At 50.0% G+C, this 26,164-nt stretch overlaps 1 protein-coding gene across 1 annotated transcript in view; it reads right to left on the bottom strand.

The window, feature by feature from the left end:
• The window catches only part of EP400 (E1A binding protein p400), a 130,519-nt gene that overhangs the window by 3,594 nt on the left and 100,761 nt on the right, over positions 1–26,164 (bottom strand). Inside the window, exons 42-52 of the mRNA NM_015409.5 lie at positions 23,643–23,721; positions 23,270–23,524; positions 21,848–21,893; positions 21,659–21,768; positions 14,544–14,757; positions 14,166–14,401; positions 11,981–12,199; positions 9,898–10,093; positions 9,381–9,505; positions 7,226–7,372; positions 274–351 (exon numbers count right to left, since the gene is read on the bottom strand). Coding sequence (NP_056224.3) covers positions 274–351; positions 7,226–7,372; positions 9,381–9,505; positions 9,898–10,093; positions 11,981–12,199; positions 14,166–14,401; positions 14,544–14,757; positions 21,659–21,768; positions 21,848–21,893; positions 23,270–23,524; positions 23,643–23,721 — 1,705 coding nt within the window. The remainder of the gene's footprint in view (positions 1–273; positions 352–7,225; positions 7,373–9,380; positions 9,506–9,897; positions 10,094–11,980; positions 12,200–14,165; positions 14,402–14,543; positions 14,758–21,658; positions 21,769–21,847; positions 21,894–23,269; positions 23,525–23,642; positions 23,722–26,164) is intronic.

Genomic DNA, 26,164 nt, shown 5'->3' with positions numbered 1-26,164 from the left:
TGTCTGCGACTTGCAGGACACACCCGCGATGATCAGTGAATGAAGGGTCCTGGGAATGAGCCCAAGGTGAGGCTCCCTCAGTATGGCTGACACAACCTCTAAACGCTTGTTCACTCTTCTCATTATTAAGTGTATCTAGTTTTTCCCCTGAAGTTAATGTTTTTGTGTGTATCACAAAAATCAAAAGTGATTCCCTAATCATGACCTCAGATGAAAACAACCCATTCTCTGACCTGGGAAATGTGAGGTTTCCACTTTGTCTATGCGTCCTACCTGCTGGGAAGCAGAGGCAACTTGCTGGATGCTGGCCACGGGTGTTTGCTGTTGAACAACTTGAGGAAGTTTTGCAACCTTTGACAAAACAAAAAAAGCCAAACATACAATTCAAAGGAGTATGTGCACAAAAAGAGATTTTTCCTCCCTTTCTGTCCTCAGTTAATGCAAAAAACACAATGACCAGGTGACACAGAAGAGCAATTCTCGTAGTGTGCCCACCTGCAGCAGTGAGAGAGCAAGTCGTTCCACTGCATGGTGAGTCAACTGACTGCCTCCCCAATTTGCCATCACTCATCATTTAAGCTTATTTTTGGTCTCATATTTCAGACACATTTTTTCTTTTCACAAAAACGACTGCAAGTTTATATGAAAGAATCAGACTGAGGATGGTAAGTATTTGAGCGTCTTGTGAGTCCCAAGGGCTCTGCATATGACAGGCCTGGACGACGTTCCAGTAATGAGCTGTACAGTGCAGCTAGGGCAGCCAGCTGAAGTGGGGAACCCGGTGACGCACCAAGGTTTTGAGGCTGGTAATTTTATCATTTTTCTACATTCTTCTTAGTCATGATTGAGATCTGGCTATTTATAAAGCAACACTTTCCACCCAGTGCCCACTTTCTGTGCACTTGCTACTGCATGCATCTCCCGCTGTCTTGACGTAGTAAGAGGCTCTGGGCCACCTGTGTGTCCTATCAGCACCGTCATGGCGTGCACCCAGAACACAAGAGAGGCTCCAGCGTGGGCAGCTGCTGGGGGCCCTGATTTCAAGGGCCCTCCCTGCACAAGGCCCTCACGGACCCTGGTCTCTTGCTGGGTCCTGTTACTTACAGAAAACGGATGAAAATAATATTTCCCAAGATTATTCTGCGAAATATGTGAAATTACATGATTTACTCACACATGAACAAAGGTCGAAATAAATGTTAGTCCTTACTAAAATTAAAATCAATCAGAAGGCATTTACTAGTTTACTGTCACTTAAACAATTATAAATAAAATTCACTAAGATAAGTGCCCTGAGCGCCCCCTGTGGAACTGCTGGGAAACAAAGATGCAGCCGGTGCTCCAGGGCCCATCTCAAGACCACAATGGTCCAGGACTTACTTGGCACAGCACTGAAAATCCTGAGACGTCTTAAATAAAGCACTAGCAAGAAATCTTAAATGTACCAAGAAACCTGCAAAGAGTCAGGAACTGCCAGTCTCCAAACCTAAGCACAGGCGGGCATCACGAGTCACGGAGCAGAAAAGCTGCACAACCTCTGCCCGGGATCGCTGGCCACATGGAGACGCACCCCGTGATCTCCAGGGTCGCACAGGACACAGCTGACCAGACACCAGGTATAGGCCAGTTCTCGGTGGGGAGCTTGCAAAAGAGCCCCGTGCTACTGCCAGCTGCCATCCTGGAGGGAGACACTGTACCCACAAAGGTACCCAAAGGCTGCAAAGAAAGCATCCCCTTCCTCCAGTGGCATCTGTAAGAAAAGCACCTGCCCTAAGCCTCAGTGCCGGGGAGGAGAGAGGAGGAGACACAGATTCAGAGGCCAGGTGGGTAACACCTGAGAGCTGAGTGAAAGCCTGAGCCACACACCAAGCAGTGTTCCTGTGGCACCTGAAGGTGCCCGCGGAAGCAAAACTCCACCTTTGCCCCAGGCTGCGAGGGGTCCCCGCAGATGCAGCACATTTCAGACAGGGAAATCACCAGATCCAGAAAAACACCTCACTCACTCTGCGAGGCCTGGAAACAAGAGACTATAAACAAAGACCAGGCATTATTTGGGAACTTCTGAAAATAAAATAATAAATCATCAAGATAAAAATTCAACAGACAAGCTTTGAAGCAGATTTGACTTAACCAAGGGAAAAATGAGTGACTGAGGAGACAGAGCGAAAGACATGACTCAGAATATAGTACGACGAGACAAAGACACAGAAAATACAAAAGCTGCTGAGAGACCTGGAGGGCAGAGGAAGCAGGACAGGGGCAACACGTAAACAAACAGTGGCTGCTTATTTCCTAAAGACATGAGAGAGACTGCCCGAGATTCAAGAAGCTGGAGCATTGGAATGAAACTGCAAAACAACAAAGACAAAGACAACGTCTCGATAACAGGCAGACAGTGGGGGAGAGAGGTGACCCAGAACAACAAAGACAAAGACAACGTCTCAGTAACAGGCAGACGGTGGGGGAGAGAGGTGACCCAAAACAACAAAGACAAAGACAACGTCTCAATAACAGGCAGTCGGTGGGGAAGAGACAGGTGACCCTGGAAGAGAGAAACGCTGGACAGACACCGGCTCCTCTTCAACAACAAAAGCAGCCACAGTGAGGAAATGATACCGTGAATGCACTCAGAAAACAATGCCGACCGGGCGCGGTGGCTCATGCCTGTAATCCCAGCACTTTGGGAGGCCGAGGCAGGTGGATCACCTGAGGTCAGGTGTTCGAGACCAGTCTGGCCAACATGGTGAAACCCCACCTCTACTAAAAATATAAAAATTAGCTGGGCATGGTGGTGTGTGCCTGTAGTCCCAGCTACTCGGGAGGCTGAGGCGGGAGAATCTCTTGAATGTGGGAGACAGAAGTTGCAGTGAGCCAAGATCATGCCACTGCACTCCAGCATGGGAGAGTGAGCCTCCGTCTCAAAAAAAAAAAAAAAAAAAAAAAAAAACCCCAAAAAACAATGCCAATCCGGAATTCTGTACTAAGCAAAACTGTCTCTCAGGAACAAGAGTGACACACAGGCATTTTCAAGCACTAAAGGAAATTCCAAAGGATGGGTCAAGTGGAAGGAAAGTAATTCCACATAAAAAGTCAAAGATGAAAAAGGACAGAATTATGGCTGGGCATGGTGGCTCACGCCTATAATCCCAACACTTTGGGAGGCCAAGGCAGGTGCATCACGAGGTCAGGAGTTCGAGACTAGCCTGGCCAACATGGTGAAACCCATCTCTACTAAAAATACAAAAATTAGCTGGGCCTGGTGGCATGTGCCTGTAATCCCAGCTACTCAGGAGGCTGAGGCAGGAGACTCGCTTGAACACAGGAGGCGGAAGTTGCAGTGAGCCAAGATCGCGCCACTGCACTCCAGCCTAGGCGATGGAGCAAGACTGTGTCAAAAAAAAAAAAAAGGAAAAGGGACAGAATTAAAACGCACACTAACAGCAGCATTTGAGATGAATAAACTGAGCTACTGTGTGATAAGATCATTGCTGGAGAAGAGGGTGGAGGCCATCGTTAACTTCATACTCTGATACAGAAGTGTGCACATGGAGATTTTAGGGTAACCACTTAAAGAACAGAAAGAAAATATATAATTTTTCACTGGCAGAGGGGAGAATTGATAAAAAAAAAAAAAAAAAGAGAAGGTGGCCCAAAAGAAGGCAAGGAAGGGAGGAAAGAAAAAACAGAACAAGCAAGACAAACAGAGTCCAAACAAAAGAGAAGCCAGAAATTCAAATATACCCAACCTTATATACAGACAAGTGGACACGTGTTTCAGGTAAGAGTCAGAGATGGAAAGCCTGACCTCACAACAGCACCGGACCTGCCCGCGAGCTGCTCACAGGAGGTGACGAGGGACACACAGAGAATGGCTGAAAACAAGGAAGGAAAAACACAGACCAAAAACTTCCAACAGGAGGGTGGTGCTTTACTCATGTGAGGAGAATAGGCTTCAAGACCAGAGATATTACTGAAGACAGTAAGAGTCATTTCAAAATAACAAAATTCAAAACTTTAAACTTAAATGTGGCTAATGAAAAGCCTTCTAAGATATAAAGCAAAACCAGAGAGAAAGGTAAGAAGAAACAGATAAAGGCATACTCAGAATGGGACATCTAAACACGCCTTCTCAATAACTAGTAACACAAGTGATTGGCAGGACACACAGAAGACCGAAATGACACACACAGTAAACTTGACCCAGTTACAACAAAATCATCTCACAAGTGAACCCATCCTGAAGACTGCTCTGGAAGGACACAGACCATTTTTTAAAACTGACTGTATTCTGGACTAGATAGCAAGTTTCAACAAATTTCAAAGACTGAAATCATTGAGACCTCATTCTCTGACAATACAATGAAGATTTATTTTTAAGTCAATAATAAAAAGTAACTGGAAAACCTCACCTGGAAATTAAGAAACACTTCTAAAAAGAACCCAGGCAGTAAATAAGAAATCAAAATGGAAATTCAAAAACATTTAGGACTGAAGGAAAACCAAATAATAAAATTTGTGAAATAAGCTCAGGTGGTACTCCATCTTAACAAGTTAGAAAATGAATAGCAAAATAAAAGAAAGGAAAGGAAGTAAAAACCCTGGCAAAAGCCCGGCATCGTGGCACACACCTGCGGTCCCGGGCCCTCCGGAGGCTGAGGAGGGAGAACTGCTTGAGTTCAGGAGTTCGAGGCCACCCTGGGCAACACAAGCAGGAGCGCGTCTCAGAAACAGACCTGACAAGGCAGGCAGAGCGCACGAACGAGGCTGAGCTGCCCCGATGCCGTGAGGTCACACACACAAGAGCAGTAATTGAACTCATCCATGCACAATGACAACTACCACAGGACCCAGTGAGTCACCCCAGAACACAATGATTGAACATCACAAGATTCAATGACTATAACCCACTACAACAGTCCATCTGTCCACTGTACTAACAGCCCTCGGACACACCTGTACTCATGGGGCTTGCTTTATTGGAGGAGACAAAATCACCTGAACAAAGTACTTATAGTATTTGTTGAAGGTGATAATACAGAAACAGAGAGCAGAAAAGCTGAGCAGGAAGGGAGACTGTGAGCAGCGCTGGTAGGGGCACAGGTGCAGAGGAGCAAGTGCAGAGGGGTGCACAGGCCAGGAGCCGTGGGCAGCAGGGCTCTGCAGAAGACATCCACACCCCCACACCCCCGACCCACCCACACAACCACAAAGTATTCCTGGGGGACGGATGGCAAAAAGGAAGCAGGAGAGATGGCAACAACCAGGGAAGGGTGCGGAGGAGGAGCTGACAGTAGCAACAGGAAGCGGCTGCTCCAGGTCTCTTCTGGAAGTCAAGCACACACAGCTGCCTGCCAATGGGCTGGACCTGTATGGATGACTGTAGGGGTTTCTCAAGTAGGCTAAAGGTCTGCAGGGACAGCTGCCCTTCCTGAGCCGGAAGCCTCTGGTAGGAGCAGGTCAGGCGTACACACCTGAGGCCTGAGGGATCAGACATCTCCATGGATCTGTCAAAGGCAGGTAGGATGAAGAATCTGGAACTCAGGACAGTAAGTGGCTACAGACATGAATCTGGGTATCATTCGCACCGAGACAGGACTTAAAGCTTTGAGGCTAAAGGAGATGTGTAAGGGAGGGAGGGAGTTCATACACATGGGCTTTAAACAAGACAAAAAGCACCGTAACAAAGAGGAACAGAAACTTCAAGCAAAGTAGAAAAGAACAGAATTTTCTTACTCTGACAAAAACACAGCAAACACCCTACTTCACAGTGAAATACGGACTCTGACATTCACCACTGTGCTGCAGGTCCCAGCCAGCACAGTAAGGCAGGAGAAAGCAAGGGTTTAAGATGGGAGAAGTAGATCGTCATGATTTACAGGTGATACAACTGTATACGAAGGAAATGCAACAAAACAAAACCAAATCCTAAGATAAATTATTCAAATAACCAGAATCTAGCAAGGCGGCCAGAATAAAAAACTAATGTACAAAAATGTACAACAGCCAGAGACAGAAAATGGAAATTAAAAGCATACCATTTACAAAAGCATCAAAAAATACTGATTGCTTAAGAATAAAACTAACATAATCTATAACACTTTCACAAAATATTAGAAAACTTCATTAAAAGGCATTAAAAAAGACTTAAGTAACAAAAGATGCATCATATTGGTGAATCTGAAGGAAAGACTGTAAAGATGTCAACTCTCCCCTGAACAGCTACAGAATCAATGCAATTCTAATAAAAACTTTCAGCAGTTTTGATTGTAGTGTATGAACTAAGCTAACTAAAATTAACACAGAAGTGGAAAGAGCCAAGAATAGGCACGCTACACCCAAGGAAGGGTGTGGTAGGGGGACTCGCCCTCCAGACACCAAGTGTCACTGCCGCTCATAGCGAGAGCGCCGTGGGACCAGCATGGCCTCTGAGACAAGAAGCCCTGAACTTCCCCACAGGATCTCAGGTGGAGGCGGCACTGTGGATCGATGGATGACAGAATTGGGCTTTTAAATAAATGGGGCTGAAAATAGGGTATTCATAGAGCACATCAAATTGAATTCCTGTTTCTATCTCAGACCCAAAAACCAATTCCCAGAGGATGTAAGACTAGCTGAGAAGGTAAAACTCCCCTGCTCTAACTGAATTCCTGTTTCTATCTCATACCCAAAAACCAACTCCAGGAGGGTGGAAGACCAGCTAAGAAGGTACCACTCCCCCGCTCTTAGAGAAGGATGCAGGGAGGTAACTCCATAAGCTCTGGGAGGAAGCAGGACATAAAAGCTCTAGGCAGAGAGGAAGACGGGAGGGCACACTGCACACATGAAATCAGGAACTCAGTTCTCCCAAAGACACCAGGTAGAACTTGATGAACAAGAAATATCAAAAAATATCAAAAAATAAAATAAAATATATTTTTAAAAAAGACACCAGGAAGGGAGAAGAGGAGCCTGGAACTGGGAGAGGGCAGCTGTACCCCACAGAGCTGGAGATCGACGTCCAGAACATGAAGGCAAAGCTGGCGACAGCTGGAACAGGCCCCGGCAGAGAGGAGCCTTCCCAGGAGCCAGAGGGGTTGAAACCTGAGGCCAGGAGACAACACTTCCCTCCAGTGCACCACCCAGTGCAGCCGCAAGGGCTGGGAGCTCGCAAAGCCCGCGAGACACACAATCCAAAGGCCGGGCACCCACTCCTGACACTCGGGCCCTCACCCTGTTCCCCGCTCACCTGGATCTGGGTCTGCACTTGCTGGGCCCCGGCCAGTTTCTGGGCCTGGGAGATGGGTGTGGTAAGAAACTGGGTCTTAAGGGCCGGCTGCGCGGCGTAGGCAACCTTCTGCTGCGCGCCAGGGGTGGTGATCTGCTGTGCGGTGATCTGGGGAGAGACTGCGAAATTAGGGCCGCAGAGACCATGCCGCGCTCAAGACTCCCGGGACGCCTGCCCGCTCTGGGCCCTATGGCAGAACCCAGCCCCTTTCCAGCCTACCTCCCAGACCAACCCTGTGCATACCCACATCTCCTGCCCCCTGTCCCATCCCTGCCGCTGCCTCCAGGCCTACCTCTGCCCATGCGGCATGGCCGCCAGCTTCTCCTCCAGGAGGCCTGGCCGTTGCCTGCAGCCCACCCCACCCGGGACACTGCTCCCTGAATAGTCGGGCTGGTGGGGCACCCTGACACCCTTGTCACACCTGCACGGGGCTGCTACTTAGGTGACTGAAAGCGATCACAATCTCTCAAATCCAATGTAAAAACTTGGCAGACATAAAGAAAATATTTAGTACACGGGGTAACAAACTGGTATGCACCATTTTTGCAGATCATATTGTGTACATCTGACGTTTACGTATCTGCTTTATCAGCCATGCTTATGGGTAAATAGGGGTTTTTAACATCTAAGGATGTTTTGTCCAATCGTAGGAACACACAGCCCAGCACTTCAGCTGCAGCCCTCCACTGCTCCCTCAAGCACAGCTCAAGCCTGAGGGACCACACCCACCTGTGCATCAGCATGGCCACGTCTGCCCATGGACCACCATGACGCACCCAGGGACTGCTGACCAGGCCCAGGAGGTAAGTCCCAGCACTGTCTCCTTCTTCCAGAGGTAAATAAATGCAGGTGACCATCCCGACCCAAAGGACATGCACTTCCCTGCAGCGGTCGTGCCAAGTGGGGATGCAGGCTGGTCTTTGGAACCCGGCCACGGCGGAGCTGGTGGCACTACCCAGACACCCTGCGCCTCCCGGCTTTGTGTCCCCTCAGTGCTCACTCCCTCTCCCTCTGGGTTCCAAAGGACAGCTCTGCTTCCAGCTCCCCACAGAGCATGCCATTGCTGCACACCAGCAGGGCTTCACCCATAGGGCCCCTGGGCACTGGTCTTCTGCAGGAGGTAGCAGCGGCTCACAGCACAGCCAGTGTCCAGGTGGTGTGGCACAAAGAACCCTGGGCCTGCTGGAGTCAGCCAGCTGCCTTTTACTGGCCCTGTGATCTGGGCAAGTCCTTTTCTCTGAGCCTCAGTTTCCTCAAGACAACATCCTCCGTCTTGAGGATAAGCACCAGGTGCCTGCAGGGGTCCAGCACAGCGCTCAGGGAACAGGGCAGCTCCCCACACAGCCATGTGGCTTCCCATCAGAGCCCGCCTTCTAGCTCTAGCCAGACAGCAGTGCCAACAGAACGTGGGGTCTGAGGGCCCACACCAGCCATCCGAAGCCCGGGACTTGGGCTGGGTGCCACCGATGAGCCACCACGAGCAGAAGTCCCTGGAGGCAGAGCTGTCTCACCACCGTGTCCCCCTCACGTCCTTCAACACAGCACTGGCTGCTGAGAGGCACAGGTATCGTCTCAGGGAGCTGGCTGAGACTGTAGACGCCCTTGGAGCCCAGTGCCCTGCTGCGCCCCCATCCACGTCGGGCCCTGGCGTGTTTATCTCCCCTTTCACCACCAACATGCACAGAGGCCACATTCCCTGTCTGGGGTCCAGACTGTACGGCATCCCTGTCCTCCAGCAGGAGTCCAGGCGGGTCCTGTGGTGTGAGCTGCGTCTGCTTCCCTGAGCCCACTGGCCCCCATCATGCAATTGCACCCCCTGTGTCTGTCCCAATGCCATGCAGGCTTCTTACCTGGCACCCAGCCATCCTCACAGACTATACCCCCTCCATCCCCCTGCCAAGACCTCAGCCTCACTTGTCACATCACACACAGCATTCACCTTTTAAAGGAAGGAAAAACCAACAGGGATGACCACACTAGCACCTCCAGCCCTTGAAGCCACCCTCTGAAAAGCGTGAGCCGCCACATGGGGATTTGTCTGCTTAGGACCCTCTCCTCCAGCAGCCAGCTTTGGCTTGGCATAGACCCAGAAGTGAGAATCCCCTAGCCCCGGTACCTTCTGCTGGACGGCTGCCGGGCCCTGTGCAGCCTGGGGCTGGATGGCCTTCTGCTGCTGGACGGCCTGCTGCTTCAGCTTCAGCAGCTGCTGCATGTGCACGGGCTGGGCCACCACGGTCTGTCCTGCAGGCAGCAAAAGCCCCTTAGTCAGCACACTGGGAAAAGAGCTTGAGGCTCACGCCAAGCTCTGTTCCAACTGACTCACCTCTACAGAAAATAACAAACTATGAAACTCTATGGAGACAAGTAAGCCATCCCTTAACTACATTAAAATGTTTCTGGGTTCACAAATTACACTTAAATTAAGACGGAAATTTCAGAATGTTAACAGTTCAATTGAGGACCCAGCCTTGCGCCTGGAAAGCGCCAAGGCACGTTTGTGCTAGAACACGTGATGGCACGCTCAAGTGGGTGGGTGTGAGGAAAGAACACGGGTCGCTGGCGACCACTGCCACCAGAGAGGCCTGTGAAACCAGGCTCAAGCCCAGGACGGGAGGGTGTGCTGGGGCGGGCACCTGCTGCCTTCTGTGGCTGACCGATCGCCACGCTGATCCCCGCGACGTTCATGGGCAGGGTGGTGACTCCCGGTGAGGAGACCACAGCTGCCGGGACGGACACCACCGGAGGCTTCGCCAAGGCCACCTGGGCTGGCTGGGGTGCCTGGGTCTGCATCTGCCCTTGCGCCTGCAGCTGAGAAGTGGGAACCCGGGTCTAAACAGTAGAAATAATGGGAGAGTCCAGAGAAATTCAGGACACGGTATGTCTTTCCAAATACTTCTCCACAAGAGGTCATGCCATGAGAAAATTTACAAAGATCAACAAAGTTTAAAGTGGCCCAACAGGAAAGGAAAACTGAGAGATCTGCACGCCGCAGGGAAATGTCAAGTCACAGGTCAGCCCGCGCTTCTGAAGCTCCCGCAAGACCTGCAGGCTCATCACACATGCTGCTGCGTTCAGATGTCAGTGATCTCACGGGACATCACCTTCACTTCCCTCCATCTCCTGAACCAGTAACCGCATCCTGTCCCGTTTTTCCCACAGAAGGCTTTTCACTTCCTGTTCCTTCAGCGAGCACTCGACATCAGCCTGTCCCTCACTTCAAAATGACTGCCTCAGCCTCCCGTCCCGCATTTTCTCTTAAGTTACCATTTAAAAAATGGTAAATGGAAGTACTTCCATTTTTGTATGTATAGAGACTAAGATTACATAAGAAAATACAAAGTAAAAATTACCCACACTCCTCAAACTACTCATATCTGAATATTAAAACTGGTATTTAGCCTTCAGCCACTGTTCATATCTGTGTGGCTCACCGTGAAAGTGTGCAAAAATGACATGAATTATAAATATTTTGAAATCTGTTTCTCTTCTCTTTACAAAAAACCACTTTCAAAATTGCTTAATATTCCATTGTTTGGATGATACATCATTTACTTAATGAAATTCTTAGTAATGGACATTTAATTTCCTCTAACACTCATGAAGCAAACAAGCTTGTACATTCATCACTTTGTAAATGTTCAGTTATCTCTGCAGGACATAAGGGGGTGTTTAGTTAAATAAGCGTGCACATTTTCATAGCGTAATTACCAAAATCCTCTCCAAAAAGAGGCCACTGATTCCTGTCCAACAAGAACCCGGTACCCTGGCTACCACTAGGTGTTACCACCCTTCTCAGTGAATTTGCATTTTTGTGAACATGAATGAAACCAAGCACCCTTCTGTAGTTTTTTATCCACTTCTACTCACTCTGCTGTGGAGGGCTAGCCCCTCCCAGGGAAGACCCAAAGTGGGGGTCCAGCACCCACACAGCTTAGCCTGAGCACCTGGGTCCCCAAATCCTAGCTTGAGTTGCAGCTGATTGGTTGTGGGATTTGGGTGGGAACTTAGCCTACATGCCTCAGTTTCTTAACCTGTAAAATGGAATTAATAGTAAGACCCTTATCCCTGCCTGGGGCAGTCCATGAGCACTGGGCCAGGTGAAAGACACAAGAGAACGAAGGGCAAAGTCTAGCTCAGGGTGAGCCTCCAACAGGGCAGCTGTCACCAGTACCCCTAGCTGAGCTCTAGTCACGGTGCAGTGACGCTGCCTGCCCCGGGACGCTGGCACCTGCTGAGAGCCAGTCTTCCCAGACAGCACTTGCGCCTGATGCTAGTCCCTTCTGAAATCTCCAAATGCTCTCCCTGCCTACAGCGGTCACCTGAGAGCAGCTTCAGAGACCGCCACCTGCCCATGCCTACGGCTTACATGCACAGCGCCCTCTGCTCCAGCCACACAGGCCTTGGTCCCTGCAGGGTCCCTCAGCAGCACAGGGAAGCCACGCAGGCTGCATCTCACCTCGCTCACTCTCCACCCCCCTCAATTCAAGCCCTGAGAAGCTTGGTGATGCCTGGATGGGCTCTGGGAGCTGCTGCTGTGTTAATGTTCCACGAGTGGTGAGTCCCGTCCTCTGTCCAAGGGGTACTAAGTTCTCGGGGAAAAGAACCCGTCTCACACTCACTCCTGTAACACGTGACACGCACCTGAGCAAGCGCAACAGCTGTGTTAAAACATAAAAAGATGCTGCTTTTGGAAAACAAACAGAAACTGACACTTACGAGCCGGGCCACCTGGAGGTTGGCCACGGTGGTGCCCGTCAGCAGGGCACCAGGCCTTGGGGCCGTGACCGTCGTGAGCTGGGGGCTCTGCTGCTGCGGCGGCTGCGAGGTCTGCACTTGCACTTGGGCTGTTGGCTGCGGGGGCGCAGACTGGGCCTGTGGCGGTGGGGGCTGCGGGGGCATCTGCAGTTTCTGCTTCTGCATTTTGATGAGGTGTTCCTAAAATACAAGCAAAGTATCTTCTCTTCAACATTAACTGTGCTCCATTCTTTAAGTAGACATCTTGTTCCTAAGCCACCCCTCTACTGCCCATTAAATACCAAAGCAGACACCTGCTACCGTGCAGCATCCAGACCGCCTTCCATGGGCTGCCCAGTATCTTCCAGGTGTTCATTTATTAAAAATGTGCATTCGTCGGTGAAAACTACAAACACGGATTCTGACTGATAAGTTCATAGCAAAAAGAATTCTATTATCCTCACAAACAAGTCGATTTAAATCTGTAGCACCAACCAAACTTATTTGAAGTTCAAAAAACATTTTAAGAAAAAATTTTTTAAGAAAACCTATACTGAGTTGATCATGACTATCAAGTCTCTTTTGAAATGCTGGAAGTGAACTGGTTTTGAAATGGATTTGGGAGAGGGCAGAGTGAGGAACGAAGGAGACAGGCAAACAGCTGGCACACAGAGCTCCTGGCAGCCAAGGCTGGGTGGCAGCCTTGATGTTGACGGCACTGGTGTCTCAGTGGTTGAACCGGGGCAGGTGACAAGGCACCTGTGTGGCTGTAGGCCGGGGGGTCATCAGTGGTTGAACCGGGGCAGGTGACAAGGCACCTGTGTGGCTGTGGGCCGGGGGGGGGTCATCAGTGGTTGAACCGGGGCAGGTGACAAGGTACCTGTGTGGCTGTGGGCCGGGGGGGTCAAAGCCCGGCTCTGACTCCCTGACAGTTGCCTCTGCTGGGCCTGGGACTCTTGAGCACAGCATTCTAATTCAGCACTGTCCAGTGGCACGTCCCGCAGGATACAAGTGGGCTAGGCGGGGGCTGCCCAGGGTGGTAGCCACAGCCACATATGGCCATGCAGCCCTCGAGGGATGGCTGGTGTGACAGGAACAGGATAAGCTCAATGTCTAAATTCCACCGACAGCCCTCCCGACAGCCCCAGGAGGGGCCCTCAGCTGAGTGTGCGTCTCCTGCAGCCCACTTCCTCCCTTCCAGACCACGGAGAGGCCCAGACTCAAGCACTCCGGCAGGCCCAACAGTGAGCTGAAACTTCAAAATATTGTCTTGTCTTTATTCCGTATGTGTCTCTGGTTACTTTCTATGACAAGTATTAATGATTTTTCATTTATGGTAGGACATAACATTTCCTTTTTTTTTCCTTTGAGACACAGTCTTGTTCTGTTGCCCAGGCTGGAGTGCAGTGGCACAATCTCGGCTCACTGCAACCTCTGCCTTCCAGGTTCAAGCGATTCTTGGGCCTCAGCTGGGATTACAGGCACCCGCCACCACGTCCGGCTAATTTTTGTATTTCTAGTAGAGACGGGGATTTGCCATGTTGACCAGGCTGGTCTCGAACTCCTGACCTTAAATGCTCTGCCCGCCTTGGCCTCCCAAAGTGCTGGGATTATAGGCGTGAGCCACTGTGTCCGGCCCAACATTTCCTTTGAAAATGAATATATTTACATAAAGAACAGCAAAGCTGGTACAGAGGTTAGCAAAAATCAGGTACATCAGTACTCCAATGACCACCTTTGAGAAACAGTACCGCACGTGAACCACATCGAAACAAACCCAGGGTCCATCGCCTGCTCTCCCAACACTGCTGAGGAATATCTTCTCACCAGCACTTTCTCTGGTCCAGAACCACACCAAGCGGGCCTAGAGACTGATGCTGAACACAAGGCACAAGACGCCTAAGCAAGAAGACGCATTTGCACGCTGGGTGTTAATGTCTCCAAAGTGCTCTGAATAAGCTGTAAGACTTCTCTAAGGCATGATCAAAGTGTTATGACATGGGAAATTTTAGACCAATAAAACGAAGCACGCGTCCTACATAAAGGCAGTGCTAGACGTTTGCAAAATACACTCTGGACTGCACCATGCAAGCAGGCACCGTCTCACAGACGCTGGGCTGACTGACCGCAAGACGCACACGTTCATGGTCCTCTGGGAAATGCTCACCGGCGTCAGCTTGCCCACAGCTTTGATCTGTGCTGGGGACTGGGCCTGGCCCTGGATCTGTGGAACTTGCACCTGAGAGGTCGTCGTCGTCTGTTGCTGCTGCTGCTGTTGCTGCTGCTGCTGCTGCTGCTGCTGCTGCTGCTGCTGCTGCTGTTGTTGCTGCTGCTGCTGCTGCTGCCTGAGAAGCTGGAAATGTGCAGGTGTGATGGTTTTTCCAGGGAGCTGAACTCCTGTGGCTATGAAGAGGTTTGCTCATTAGGTCTGGACAGGGATACTCGCCCACCTTCAGATCCTCATTCTCAGACAGCAAGCAGCAGCTGAGCCCTCACACGCGCCAGAGCAGACGTGTGGCAGAGAAAGCTCCCAGCCTGGCTTTACCTTGGGACACTTGGGGCACCAAAGACCGTGCCGGGGTCTGCACTGGGGTCAGGTTGGTAGTGACCACGGCCGAGGCTGTCACAGAAGTGACCGCTCGAACACCCTGAGTCGTTGCCATGGACACCAGGTCAGGGGTCGCCGTGGCTGGGGAGCCGACTGCCCGTGGCGGGGGCTGGGTGTGCACCACCTGGGCGGGAGCAGAGCCTCCCGGCGTCTAGAAAAGGCAAACAGAGGACCTCATCAAATATTTCACACAGCACTCAGGGCTGTTCACACTCAGAGCAGGGAAGACAAGAGCACCCAACTTCAGAGGCGAAACAAGTGAAACACACGCTAGAGTTCAGTCTTTTGAAAACTGCTGATTTCATGTGTAAATTCACAAGCAAGTGCCCTGAGCAATGGTTTCTCCCAGCAGATCACATCACCCACAGAAACACGCTTCAGATGGCGGCACGCCCGTGCACATGCTGGAAAGGCCGTCCTGTCCCTCCCTCTCCGCACAAAGACCTCTTGGTCCCCAGGAACGTAACGACTGTCCTTGAGGCACCCATGCTACCCACAAACACACAGCCCACAGTCCTGGCTCTCTACCACTGTCCCCATCTGTGCTGAAACTACAGCCCTGAGTGTCTCACCATGTGCGTGGGGTCTTGTGGCATCTTACCTTCATCTTGCCTAAAATTCAGAGCATCCTCACTGTGCCCTGCAGTCCACTCTGGCCCGCAGGCAGAAGTGGCAGCCAGAGTGGTCCCCTCACCCTATCCCACCTTGCCTCACCGTCCTTCCTTGTCCCACCATAAACTGGAAGGCAAACGCAATCATGCCACCTCTGCAGTGTCCCTCCAGCTGACCTCTGCCAGCTCCCTTGGTTCCGAAGTGCAGTGTATTTTTAGTTTCTCTTGATCCTTTTATGTCTCATTGCTTACGCATTTGGATGGAAATCTAGCGTGTTACTCCATGTTTTCCATTCCACCCAGCTGCTGTATGTTTCTTTTCATCTCCTTCCTTGCCTCCTCTCAGATGACTCTTTCCTCACCAATGTCCCTGCCACAGTTGGGAGCAACTCGCTCTGCTCTCATTCTTCTGGTGGCTGGTCTGGAATTACCACGGATGCTTGCCAAAGTCTAAATACTCCATGCTTTTCCTAAACAGTAACGAGATCTGTGCACATTTCAGCCCCTCTGCCCCTTCCCCAGCTTGCATGTTATTGTCCTGTGTATTTATTTCCTCTTTCTAACCCCAGTGAGCTCCTGCGTTCATCCATGAGTCTACCTTGTTACCACTTCCAGCTGGGAACACCTTTCTTCTGCTTAAAGCATATCATTCAGTGAAGGTCCAAAGTTGAAAATGTCTTTATTTTGCCCTTGTTTTTTTTTGTTTTGTTTTGTTTTTTGTTTTTTTTTTTTTTTGAGACGGAGTCTTGCTCTCGTTGCCCAGGCTGCACTGCAATGGCGCAATCTTGGCTCACCGCAACCTCTGCCTCCCAGGTTCAAGCAATTCTCCTGCCTCAGCCTCCTGAATAGCTGGCATTACAGGCATGTGCCACCACGCCCAGCTAATTTTGTAATTTTGGTAGAGATGGGGTTTCTCCATGTTGGTCAGGCTGGTCTGGAACTCCCAACCTCAGATCTGCCCGCCTCGGCCTCCCAAAGTGCTGGGATTATAGGTGTGGGCCACCACACCCGGCCTCCCTTGTTCTTTAAGATATCTCCAAGAGATGCAGAGCCCTAGGCTGGCAGCAACTTTCTTTCCCTGGCACGACAACGACCCCCGCTGGCTCCCGGCCTCACTGCTGCTGCTGACAAGTGAGCCGCTCCACCTCTGAAGGCAATCTGTCTTTTCCTATGGCTGCTTGAAAGACCTCTTGGTCACTAGCATTATGCAGACGTGGTTCCTTTTTCTCATCCTTGACTGGGATTAGACTTTCTACATATACGCATCAGTGTCATTAGTAAGTTCTCAAAAACTATTCTGTCTTCAAATATTGACTCTGCTCAATTTTCTGTCTGATAGTCAGTGACTACCTATCAGGCCCTGTCACCATGTCCTCCATGTGTCATCTTGTCATCCCATGTTGTGTGTAGGATGTCTTCTGATTTTTGCCTCCACTTCCCTCATTTTCTCCTCAATTGTGTGATATTAAGCCCATTCTTAAGTTTGGGTTGTTTCCCCCAGTTTTGGTAATCAGACTTTTCTAAAAGTTCTCTATATACTTTCTAAACATAGTTTCCTGCTTACAGATATTCAGATACTCTCAATCTTCTATTTCCTTAAAATAGAAAGCATAACTTTTTTTTTTTTTTAACGGAGTCTCGCTCTGTCACCCAGGCTGGAGAGCAATGGTGTGATCTTGGCTCACTGCAACCTCCGCCTCCCGGGTTCAAGCAATTCTCCTGCCTCAGCCTCCCGAGTAGCTGGGACTACACACGCGTGCCACCACACCTGGCTGATTTTTTTTTTTTTGTATTTTCTGTAGACACGGGGTTTCACCGTGTTAGCCAGAATGGTCTCTTATCTCCTGACCTCGTGATCCGCCCGCCTTGGCCTCCCAAGATGCTGGGATTACAGGCGTTGAGACACCACGCCCAGCCTGAAAGCCTAACCTTTAAAATCTAAACCTGATAATCCCAATATCGCACATCTTTACAGGCCTATCCAGTGTCTGTCATTCCGCTGATTCTCACTCATAATGCCTTCTCTTCTCTGTTTAGTTATTTTGTATTCTATTGTATTGTACTGTATTATACTAGAAAACTATTTGTGGAGATTCTCAGAAGTCAAGAAAGCACAATCCTCCAGAGAGAATCTGCATTTGCTCCAGGTCAGCTGCCCAGGAACATGCCCACTGAAGCAGGTAGACTTCACTTGATGTGAGGGAGTGCGGGAGACACTTTTAAGGTAATATCGACTTGAGCTGCAAACTACCCTGTGGTTTCAACCTCTCGGGGGCCGTCCCCACCATGCTCCACTACTCAATCCAAGGGCTACTCTTCTTTTGACCCCTGAAGGCCAAGGGCAGATGGATTCTGCTTCTGGTTCACTCCTGCTCTAAAGGTTTAGCCACCTGGGGCCCTACCTCGGTGTATCAATAGTTTCCTTTTTAGATTCTCCACCTTGGCCCAGCCTTGGACTTGAATTCAAGTTCCCTCATTCCACAAGCTGAAATTTATTTTCAAGGCAAACATGACTTCAGTGAATCCTATTTCTTTCTCTGAGTTTCTTCCCTCCCTTAGATTTGGGCCTGATAATTAATTATTCTTGTCAATTCCTTGAAGCTTTAAAAATTTTTATCCAATAACTTCAGTTCTTTTCATTAAGAGGTGGTATAAAAATAACTTAACTCATCTTGTTACCAGAAACAGAAGTCATCCTTTTCTGGACTCCTTAAACAGTTTTCGCATCCCAACTATTCAGGAAGCTGAGGTGGGAGGATTGCTTCAGCCTGTGAGTGTGAGGCTGCAGTGAGCTGTGATTGTACCCCTGCACTCCAGCCAGAGCAACAGCAAGATGCTGTCGCAAAAAAAAAAAAAAAGGAAGAAATCGTTTTTCTCCTTAGCCTCTTCTACTCTAATCAATTCTACATACGTAGGAGCACGTTAATTTTCCTAGAACTTCTCTCTGCTCTAAGACCGTTAAGGGCTCCCCACTGCCTGGTGAATAAAATCCATAGTCTAGGCTGGGCGCGGTGGCTCACGCCTGTAACCCCAGCACTTTGGGAGGCTGAGGTGGGTGGATCACGAGATCAGGAGTTCAAGACCAGCCAGGCCAAGATGGTGAAACCCCGTCTCTACCAAAAATACAAAAATTAGCCAGGTACGGTGGCGGGCACCTGTAATCCCAGCTACTCAGGAGGCTGAGGCAGAATAACCTGAACCCAGGAGGCGGAGGTTGCAGTGAGCCGAGATCGCACCACTGCACTTTAGCCTGGGTGACAGGGAGAGACTCTGTCTCAAAAAAAAAAAAAAAAAAATCCAATCTTTAGCCCAATATCCAAAGCCCAGTACAATCTAGCCTCAATATTACAAAGTGCCAAGCACACAGAAGCCACTCAATAAAAACTTTTTAAAGGCAGGGAACCACTGTTTCTCTGTTAATATCTTTTGTGTTCCATTCAAACAGAACAACATGCCATTCTCCATGCACGCCATTCCCTTCCCCTCAGACCCTCCGCTCACAAGACTGGCCCTGCATTCAGAAGGGCCAGTTCTGTGGATGACGTACTTCCTGTCCTCCTGAAGCCCAACATCACTTTCTCCTGAAAGCCTTCTCTGAGTCCCCCGAGTACAATCACACATGTCCACCACTGCTATCTGCACCTCTCTCATGTTCCAGCCACAGCACTACAAGGCCCCCATGAAAGCACACTGTGTCTTGGGCCCACAGTGCCAGGAAGAATGTCTTGTCCATTAAGAGCCACTCAAAAATATGTCGTGAATGAAATGCTTTACATTTTAAAATACCACAAAGAACAGGTCTTTTTCAAAATAAAACGCTAAATGCAGTGATTCTGGCTTGGTACCCTCATAGAAACAGTGGTATTGGTCATACGGGATGTTCCAAACGCCTCAGGCCTAACAGCTTCTGCTATCTACTGCAGTGACAGAGCCTGAAGTTGTTTACTGCAAAGCAGAAAGAAAAGTGAAATAATCTTAAAGTCACATACTAGAAAAACTGTGTGTATATATATTCTACTGCTTAAGAGTGTTTTAGAGGGATTTATTGAAGGGTAATTTACAGAGTACAATATATGGTTCTACGAATTCTGACGGACACATTATCATCACGTAGCTACTGCCATGACCCCACCACTCCCAACGTTCTCGAATTCCTCTCCGTAGTGGAGCCCCTCCCGCATCTGGCAATCATTCATCTGTTTTCTGTTATTGAAACGGAGTCATACAGCATATGAAGCTTTCTGAAACTGTTCACTTAGCTGCAAAATGCATCTGAGAGTCCTCCATGGAGATGTATGTCTCGGGCATTCATTCTTTTGTATTGCTTGGTAGGACTGGGCTGTATGAATGTACCATGGTTTATCAGCCCATTCACCAGCTGAAGGGCATTTAGGCTGTTTTCTTTTTGAGCAATCCTGAATAAAGCCACTATAAACATTGGTGTTGAGGGTTCTTGTTCTGGCGTTTTCACTTCTCTTGGGGAAGTACCTAGCAGCAGAACTGCGAAGCTGCATGGTAAGAGTAGGCTTGGTTTTATAAGAAACTGTTTTAGGAAGCGACTGTGGACTCTGCATTCCCACAACCTTGTGAGAGGGTCCTCGCTGCTTCCATGACTGCCAGCCTTCTGTTTCTGAAGCCACTCTCCCAGGCACATGGTGGTGTATCACTGTGGTTGTAAAAATCTGCATTCCCCTGATGACTCATGGCGTTGCACACCTTTTCAGGTATTTATCTGTTATTCTTCTAGCTTCTTGGTGAAGTGACTGCTGCATCTTCTGCCCATTTTATACAGTTGCTTGTTTTCTTACTACTGAGTTGAAGAATCTTTATATTTTCTCCCAGTCTATGCTTTTCGTTTTCTTACTATTTCTCAAGGAGCAGAAGTCCTTAATTTTGATGACGCCTAACGTATTAACTTTTCTTCAGGATTCACAGGCTTCTGGTATCCTAAGAAATCTCTGCCTAAACCAAAGTAGCACAGATTTTCTCCTAGAAATGCTACTGTTTTGGCTTACAGTGTAGTTTTTGCTTTTACATGCAGGCCTGTGATCCACCTGGAGTGCCTTTCATACTCCGTGTGAGTTACGGGCCAAGGCTCATTGTTTTGCACATGGCTGCCCAACTGTTACAGCACCGTTTGCTGACAAGACAGTCTGTTCACCACTGAATTCCCTTGGCACTTTTACTGAGGTCAACTGAAAATGTGTGTGTGTGTGTGTGTGTGCGTGTGTTGTGTTGGGGAGGGGTCTATTTCTGGACTCTCTATCCAATTCCATCATCTACACATCTATCCTGCCAATGCTCCATCATCTAGGCTACTACAGCAACGACATCTTCACAGGAAAGATGCTTTTCAAAACCCAAGAGAGACTACATTCTACTTGCCAAAGCACTGACTTTGAAGCATCGTTTCTTCTCATTCAGGGTATGTTGCCCCTGGGTCTGTGAACTATTTGGAAAATCGAGATACAAATCTGAGCTCCTTATTCTCACTTGTGTTTGGTTCTGATGATGAAACACCCAAGAGAAGCAGGTGGTCCCAGGGCACCACATGGCTCTGCACCTTTGCCTAGGTGCCTCCTCTCCACCTGGGTGGGCTGCACCTACCGCTTCCCACACCTGGGGTCTCCACGTTCCGTAGAAACTGCCCGCTCCTCCCATGCCCACCTGCTCCTTGCACACACCCAGCCATGCCCTCGTGTGATGCCGTGTCCCCTCCCCCAAAACCACGCCCCCAAGAGGGCTGTCATCTCTTAGCTTCCCCACATGGGCACAGTGACAAGCACATGGGGGGCACCTGCGGCAATAGAATCAGCAGCGGACCCTCACATCCCGCCTACCTCCTATCTAAAATCATCCTACAGGGAGGGGACAGTTCACACACACACACACACATACCCTCCTACACTTCACACACACACCCCTACACTTCACACACACACACACCCCTACACTTCACACACGCCCCCCTACACCTCACACACATACCCCTACACCTCACACACACCCCTACACCTCACACACACAACCCCTACACCTCACACACACCCCTATACCACACATACCCCTACACCTCACACACACCCCTACACCTCACACACACAACCCCTACACCTCACACACACCCCTACACCTCACACACACACACCTACACCTCACACACACCCCTACACCTCACACACACACACACACACCCCTACACCACACACACACACACATACCCCACCTCATTTTCATCCCTCATACAGAATGGAAACCATCCCCTAAACAGCTGAATGTTTCTGAAATCAACATACTGATCAGCTACTTATTTTATGAAATTCAAACTAGACAGTTTTTCACCAATGGAATACTTAAAAAGAAGAAGAAGAATTAACAGACAAGCAAATAATTTCGGCAGAATGCAGTCAAGGTGCACAACCCAGGTGAAGCGCAACTCACAGTCAAGGCCCCAGGAGCCACTGGCGACGCCAGGCGCTTGTTGATGGACTGGAAGGTGGCAGCTGGGACCCCTGCGATGGTGTTCACGATCACATTTCCACTCACGGCACCTGCGGAGACAGGCGGGCATAAGGCAACAGCGCCAGGAGAAATGGGGTCCACATTTCAGCATCTCTGTATTTGTCTTACCAGTGGGCATGCTCGTCCCAGTAACTGATGTTTTAATGGTTCCTGCCTATTTAAAAAAAAAAAATCCATTTGAATTTCACGTCAGGCTCTCCCCTGCATAAATCCTCCAAAGGCTTCCACTTCATTCAGAATCAAATCCAAACTCCACGACATTCACACAGCCACCTGTCCCATCCTCCCCAGCTCATTCCACCTGGCGGTGCCCCCACCCTCTGTCTACCTGCTGTCCCTCCACCCCTATCCCATTGTCCCTCCACCCCAGGGACCCTCCATCCCACTGTCCCTCCACCCTCACCCCACTGTCCCTCCACTCCTCCGTCCCTCCACTCCATTCATCCACCCTCTGTCCCTCACCACCTGAGTCCAGCCACACTGAGCTTTCTGGCCCCCATATCAGCCAAGCTCAGGGCCTCTGTACTTGCTGTTTTGTTCTTCTTATGACCAACTCCTTGTCATTCAGGCCTTAGCTCAAATGCCAAGTCCTCAGAAAGGTGTTTCCTAACAAGCCAGTCCTGCATTGTGCCACCCTGACTCCTCCCGCCAGCATTTAAAATGATCCCTTTGGCTGCCTCCCTCCCCTGTAGGACGTGGCTCCAGAATGTGGGCACTGCCCATCTTGCCCACCTTGCACCAAGTAAGTATTCACAAAGATCCCTTTTGAATAAATGAGGAATGAAGTTGCCTGAGTACATATAAAAATTCCACTACAGCAAACAATTTTCTAAAAACTACTGCAGGAAATGGTTCTATGTAACAAAAATATTTTTATGCCTGCCTGGTAGTCCAAAGTGTGGGTTTCCCCAATTTGGCACAGCTCCTATTCTCTGCAGGTGTGATTCTGCGCATATGATTTCAGCGTCTGTGTGGCACACGGACGCACACAGTACAGAGATACACCAGAGCGTGGTGTGCATGGCCACAGTCCGCAGCTCCGCACCCTGCCTTTCTTTTCACAATGCTTCTTGTGTGCTTTACAGCTTTTCTACAACAGGCATTAAAGACTGACCTGTGTGGGGGAGCACACATGGGCATGCTTTGAGACACCGACACAGGCAGTACCTGCTCTCTAAGTGTGTAGGAAGTCAGGAAGTGAATGCGTCACAGGTATGTTTTACAAAACCCAGGCAATTACAAACTTCCCAACCACCTCCACTAAAAGGAGCTGCCTCTACCTGCCAAATCCAATAAAGCCACTAAGCCCACAAAAGCCCTGGAGGAGAGAAATGGCAGAATCCAGGTGAAAACACACAATTCCTCTGGGATGAGACTAAGCCTTTTCCCATTTCTTCAGAGGAAGGTCTACAAGCTGGAAATGTGCTAGAACTGGCAACAAGTCTTCGTTTCAACAGAAAGCACTTGAATCAAGTGCAGGTGTGGGTGACTTCCCGTAGAGGGGAAGCCCGGGAGGAGGCCCCTGCTCACCAGTACGGCTGCACTGCCCCCCGTCGTGATTGCGGGCTGCGCCTTCGCTGGGGCCTGCACAGGCTGTGGCTGGGTCTGGGGCTGTGGCTGGGGTTGGGGCTGGACAGCTGGTGGCCCTGCTGGCGGCTGGCTGCCCGCTGCCTGTGGTTGTGGCAGCGGTGGCGGTGGCTGCTGCGGGGGTGGTGGGGGCTGCGGCTGGGGCGGGGGTGGCTGGGCCACGGCCGGCTGCTGTGCCTTCTGCTGATCAGCCAGAGCCTGAGGGGCCAGGAAGGAAGAGGAGCCACTGGAGGGGCAGACTCGGCCTGCATACCCCCTGGATGAAGTCACAGTCACCACATTTTCCCACTCAAGCAGAAGGGCCCAGGGCGCTGACCTTTTTCTCTTTTGCGATTCGCTCTGCACGGAGAGATGCCACCTGGATGGGAGGCAGCGGCTTGTCATAGTTGATTCCACTGAAAGACAGACGCAAAGGTTAAAAACATACAGGCAAGTTTTAAGACAGACAAGTACCACGTACCCTAGAAACACCATGCTGCCAGGTGCTGGGGCAGCTCCAGCCCAAGAGATGAGGGCGTAAAGCAAGGTGCCCAATGTGCCCTGCAGGAGATCGAGCCACCTAGACCTCATCCTCAGCCTGGCGCTGAGTCCTCTTCCTTGAGGCCGAGCTCTCCCACTCTCCAGGAAAAGTATCTCCGAACACGTCCCCAGCGTACTTGTGGCAGCCCCCAAACGCACAGCCCACCTCATGTGTCTGCACTGTACTTGGGAAAATCTCTGTCTGTTCCTTCTGTGAGGATGCCCTCGAGTTCCTCTCCAGGGAGGTAAAGGGAGGGCGGGACTGTGCCTCTCTCGCTCCCCCGAGAATGCCCAGGCTCCACGCCGCGCAGGCCCGCGGTCCATAAATATTAGTAGGGTGAATTAACTCTTCATTTAATCGACAACATCAATCAAATGATGGGTCTGTGCTCCCAGACGCTAGAGTCCCAGCGATCACAGCACTCACATCAGACGACAAACAGGTAAAATGTGCAGTGGGTCTGAAGACGTACTGGCTGCTATGGAGGAAAACAGCAGGGCGGGGCTGCAATTCTCAACAGTGCGCTCTGAAAACATCTCACGAGGGCAGTTAAGTGAAGGGCTGGGGCGCGGCTGCCAGCACACTCAGGGAGCACCAAGGGGCTGAAAGCCAGGGCCAGGCGACTCAGAGCGTGGGCAGTAGGGAGTCCTGGGGGTTTGCGGAGATGGGCCCTGAGCCAACTCCTTCTGACAAGGATCACTCCACTACTGTGCGGAAAGGGGGCCACAGAACGAGGAAGCCTCCCAAATCCGCCACTGTGTGACAACTGTGGGCGGCAAGCCACTCAGGTGCCGAGGCAAGAGACCAAGGACACGAGCTGTTCCAGTATAATAAAATATAAAACAAGAATAGTTATACCAGATATAGATCTTAGATATGATTATCTATGAATATCATTAATCATTAGTTGGTAGCAATTACTCTTTATTCCAATATTATAATAATCCTCGCTCTATAATCATAACCTAGGAAAAGCCAGGCCATACAGAGATAGGAGCTGAGAGGACACAGTGAGAAGTGACCAGAAGACAAGCGTGCAAGCCTTCTGTTATGCCCGGACAGGGCCACCAGAGGGCTCCTGGGTCTAGCGGTAACGCCAGCGTCTGGGAAGACACCCACTGCCAAGCGGACCGTGGTCTAGCAGTAGCATTAGTGTCAAGGAAAAACACCCACTACTTAGTGGACCGGGAAAGGGAGTCTCCCTTTCCCCAGGGGAGTTTAGAGAAAACTCTACTCCTCCACCTCTTGTGGAGGGCCTGACATTAGTCAGGCCCGCCCGCAGTTATCCGGAGGCCTAACCGTCTCCCTGTGATGCTGTGCTTCAGTGGTCACACTCCTAGTCTGCCTTCATGTTCCATCTTGTACACCTGGCTCTGCCGTTTAGTTAGCAGCAGCAAATTAGTGAAAGTACTAAAAGTCTCCGATAAGCAGAAATAATAATGTAAGATGTTTCTCTCCTTCTCTCTCTACCTCGGCTGCCAGGCAGGGAAGGGCCCCCTGTCCAGTGGCCATGTGATCCACGTGGCCTTACCTATCACTGGAGATGGCTCACACTCCTTGTCCTGCCTGAGTCTTGTATCCAATAAATATCAGTGCAGCCTGGCATTTGGGGCCACTACTGGTCTCCATGTCTTGGTAGTAGTGGTCCCCCAGTCCCAGCTGTCTTTTATCTCTGTCTTGTGTCTTTATTTCTACGCTCTCTCGTCTCCGCACACGGGGAGAAACCCACCGACCCTGTAGGGTTGGAGCCTACAGACAACAGTGCCTAAACCAGATGCACATCATTTCATCCCAGCAGACCTCCTTTCCAACATTTTATGGAAAGAGTCCGACAGTCAGAAACGCTACAGACACCCATGTGCCTGGCAGTAAGGTTCCACACTGGGGTTCCACCATCCATTACCCCATTTACTTTCTTGCATCTACCCACTTCTGTACCCATCCATTCATTCATTCCTCTTTTCCCCTGTATAACTTCAGGGCAGGTACACACACCCCTAAATGTGGTGTGTTCTTAAGATATGGCGAACAAAATCAGTGCCTGAGAGGTGGGGTGTGAGGAAGAAAGCCCCTTGTGGTTGGCCACATGGCCCTGGCACACTCATCACATCTGTCAGCGTCTTTCCCCACTGAGGGCCAGCAAGGACAATCCCTGTAACACAGAGACAGGGCAGGGGCCGTCCTATGCATACCCTAGCCCACGGCAGGAAAAGCACCTCTCTCCTGCAGGTTCTGCGCACTGCCACGTCCAGCTGATGCCTGAACACGCTAAGTGCACAACGATTTGCTGAACTCACTGAACTTAGATGACACTGGAA

Source organism: Homo sapiens, chromosome 12 (genome assembly GCF_000001405.40).
Source record: "Homo sapiens chromosome 12, GRCh38.p14 Primary Assembly".
Classification (NCBI taxonomy): domain Eukaryota; kingdom Metazoa; phylum Chordata; class Mammalia; order Primates; family Hominidae; genus Homo; species Homo sapiens.
This window is presented reverse-complemented; position numbering and strand designations above follow the sequence as displayed.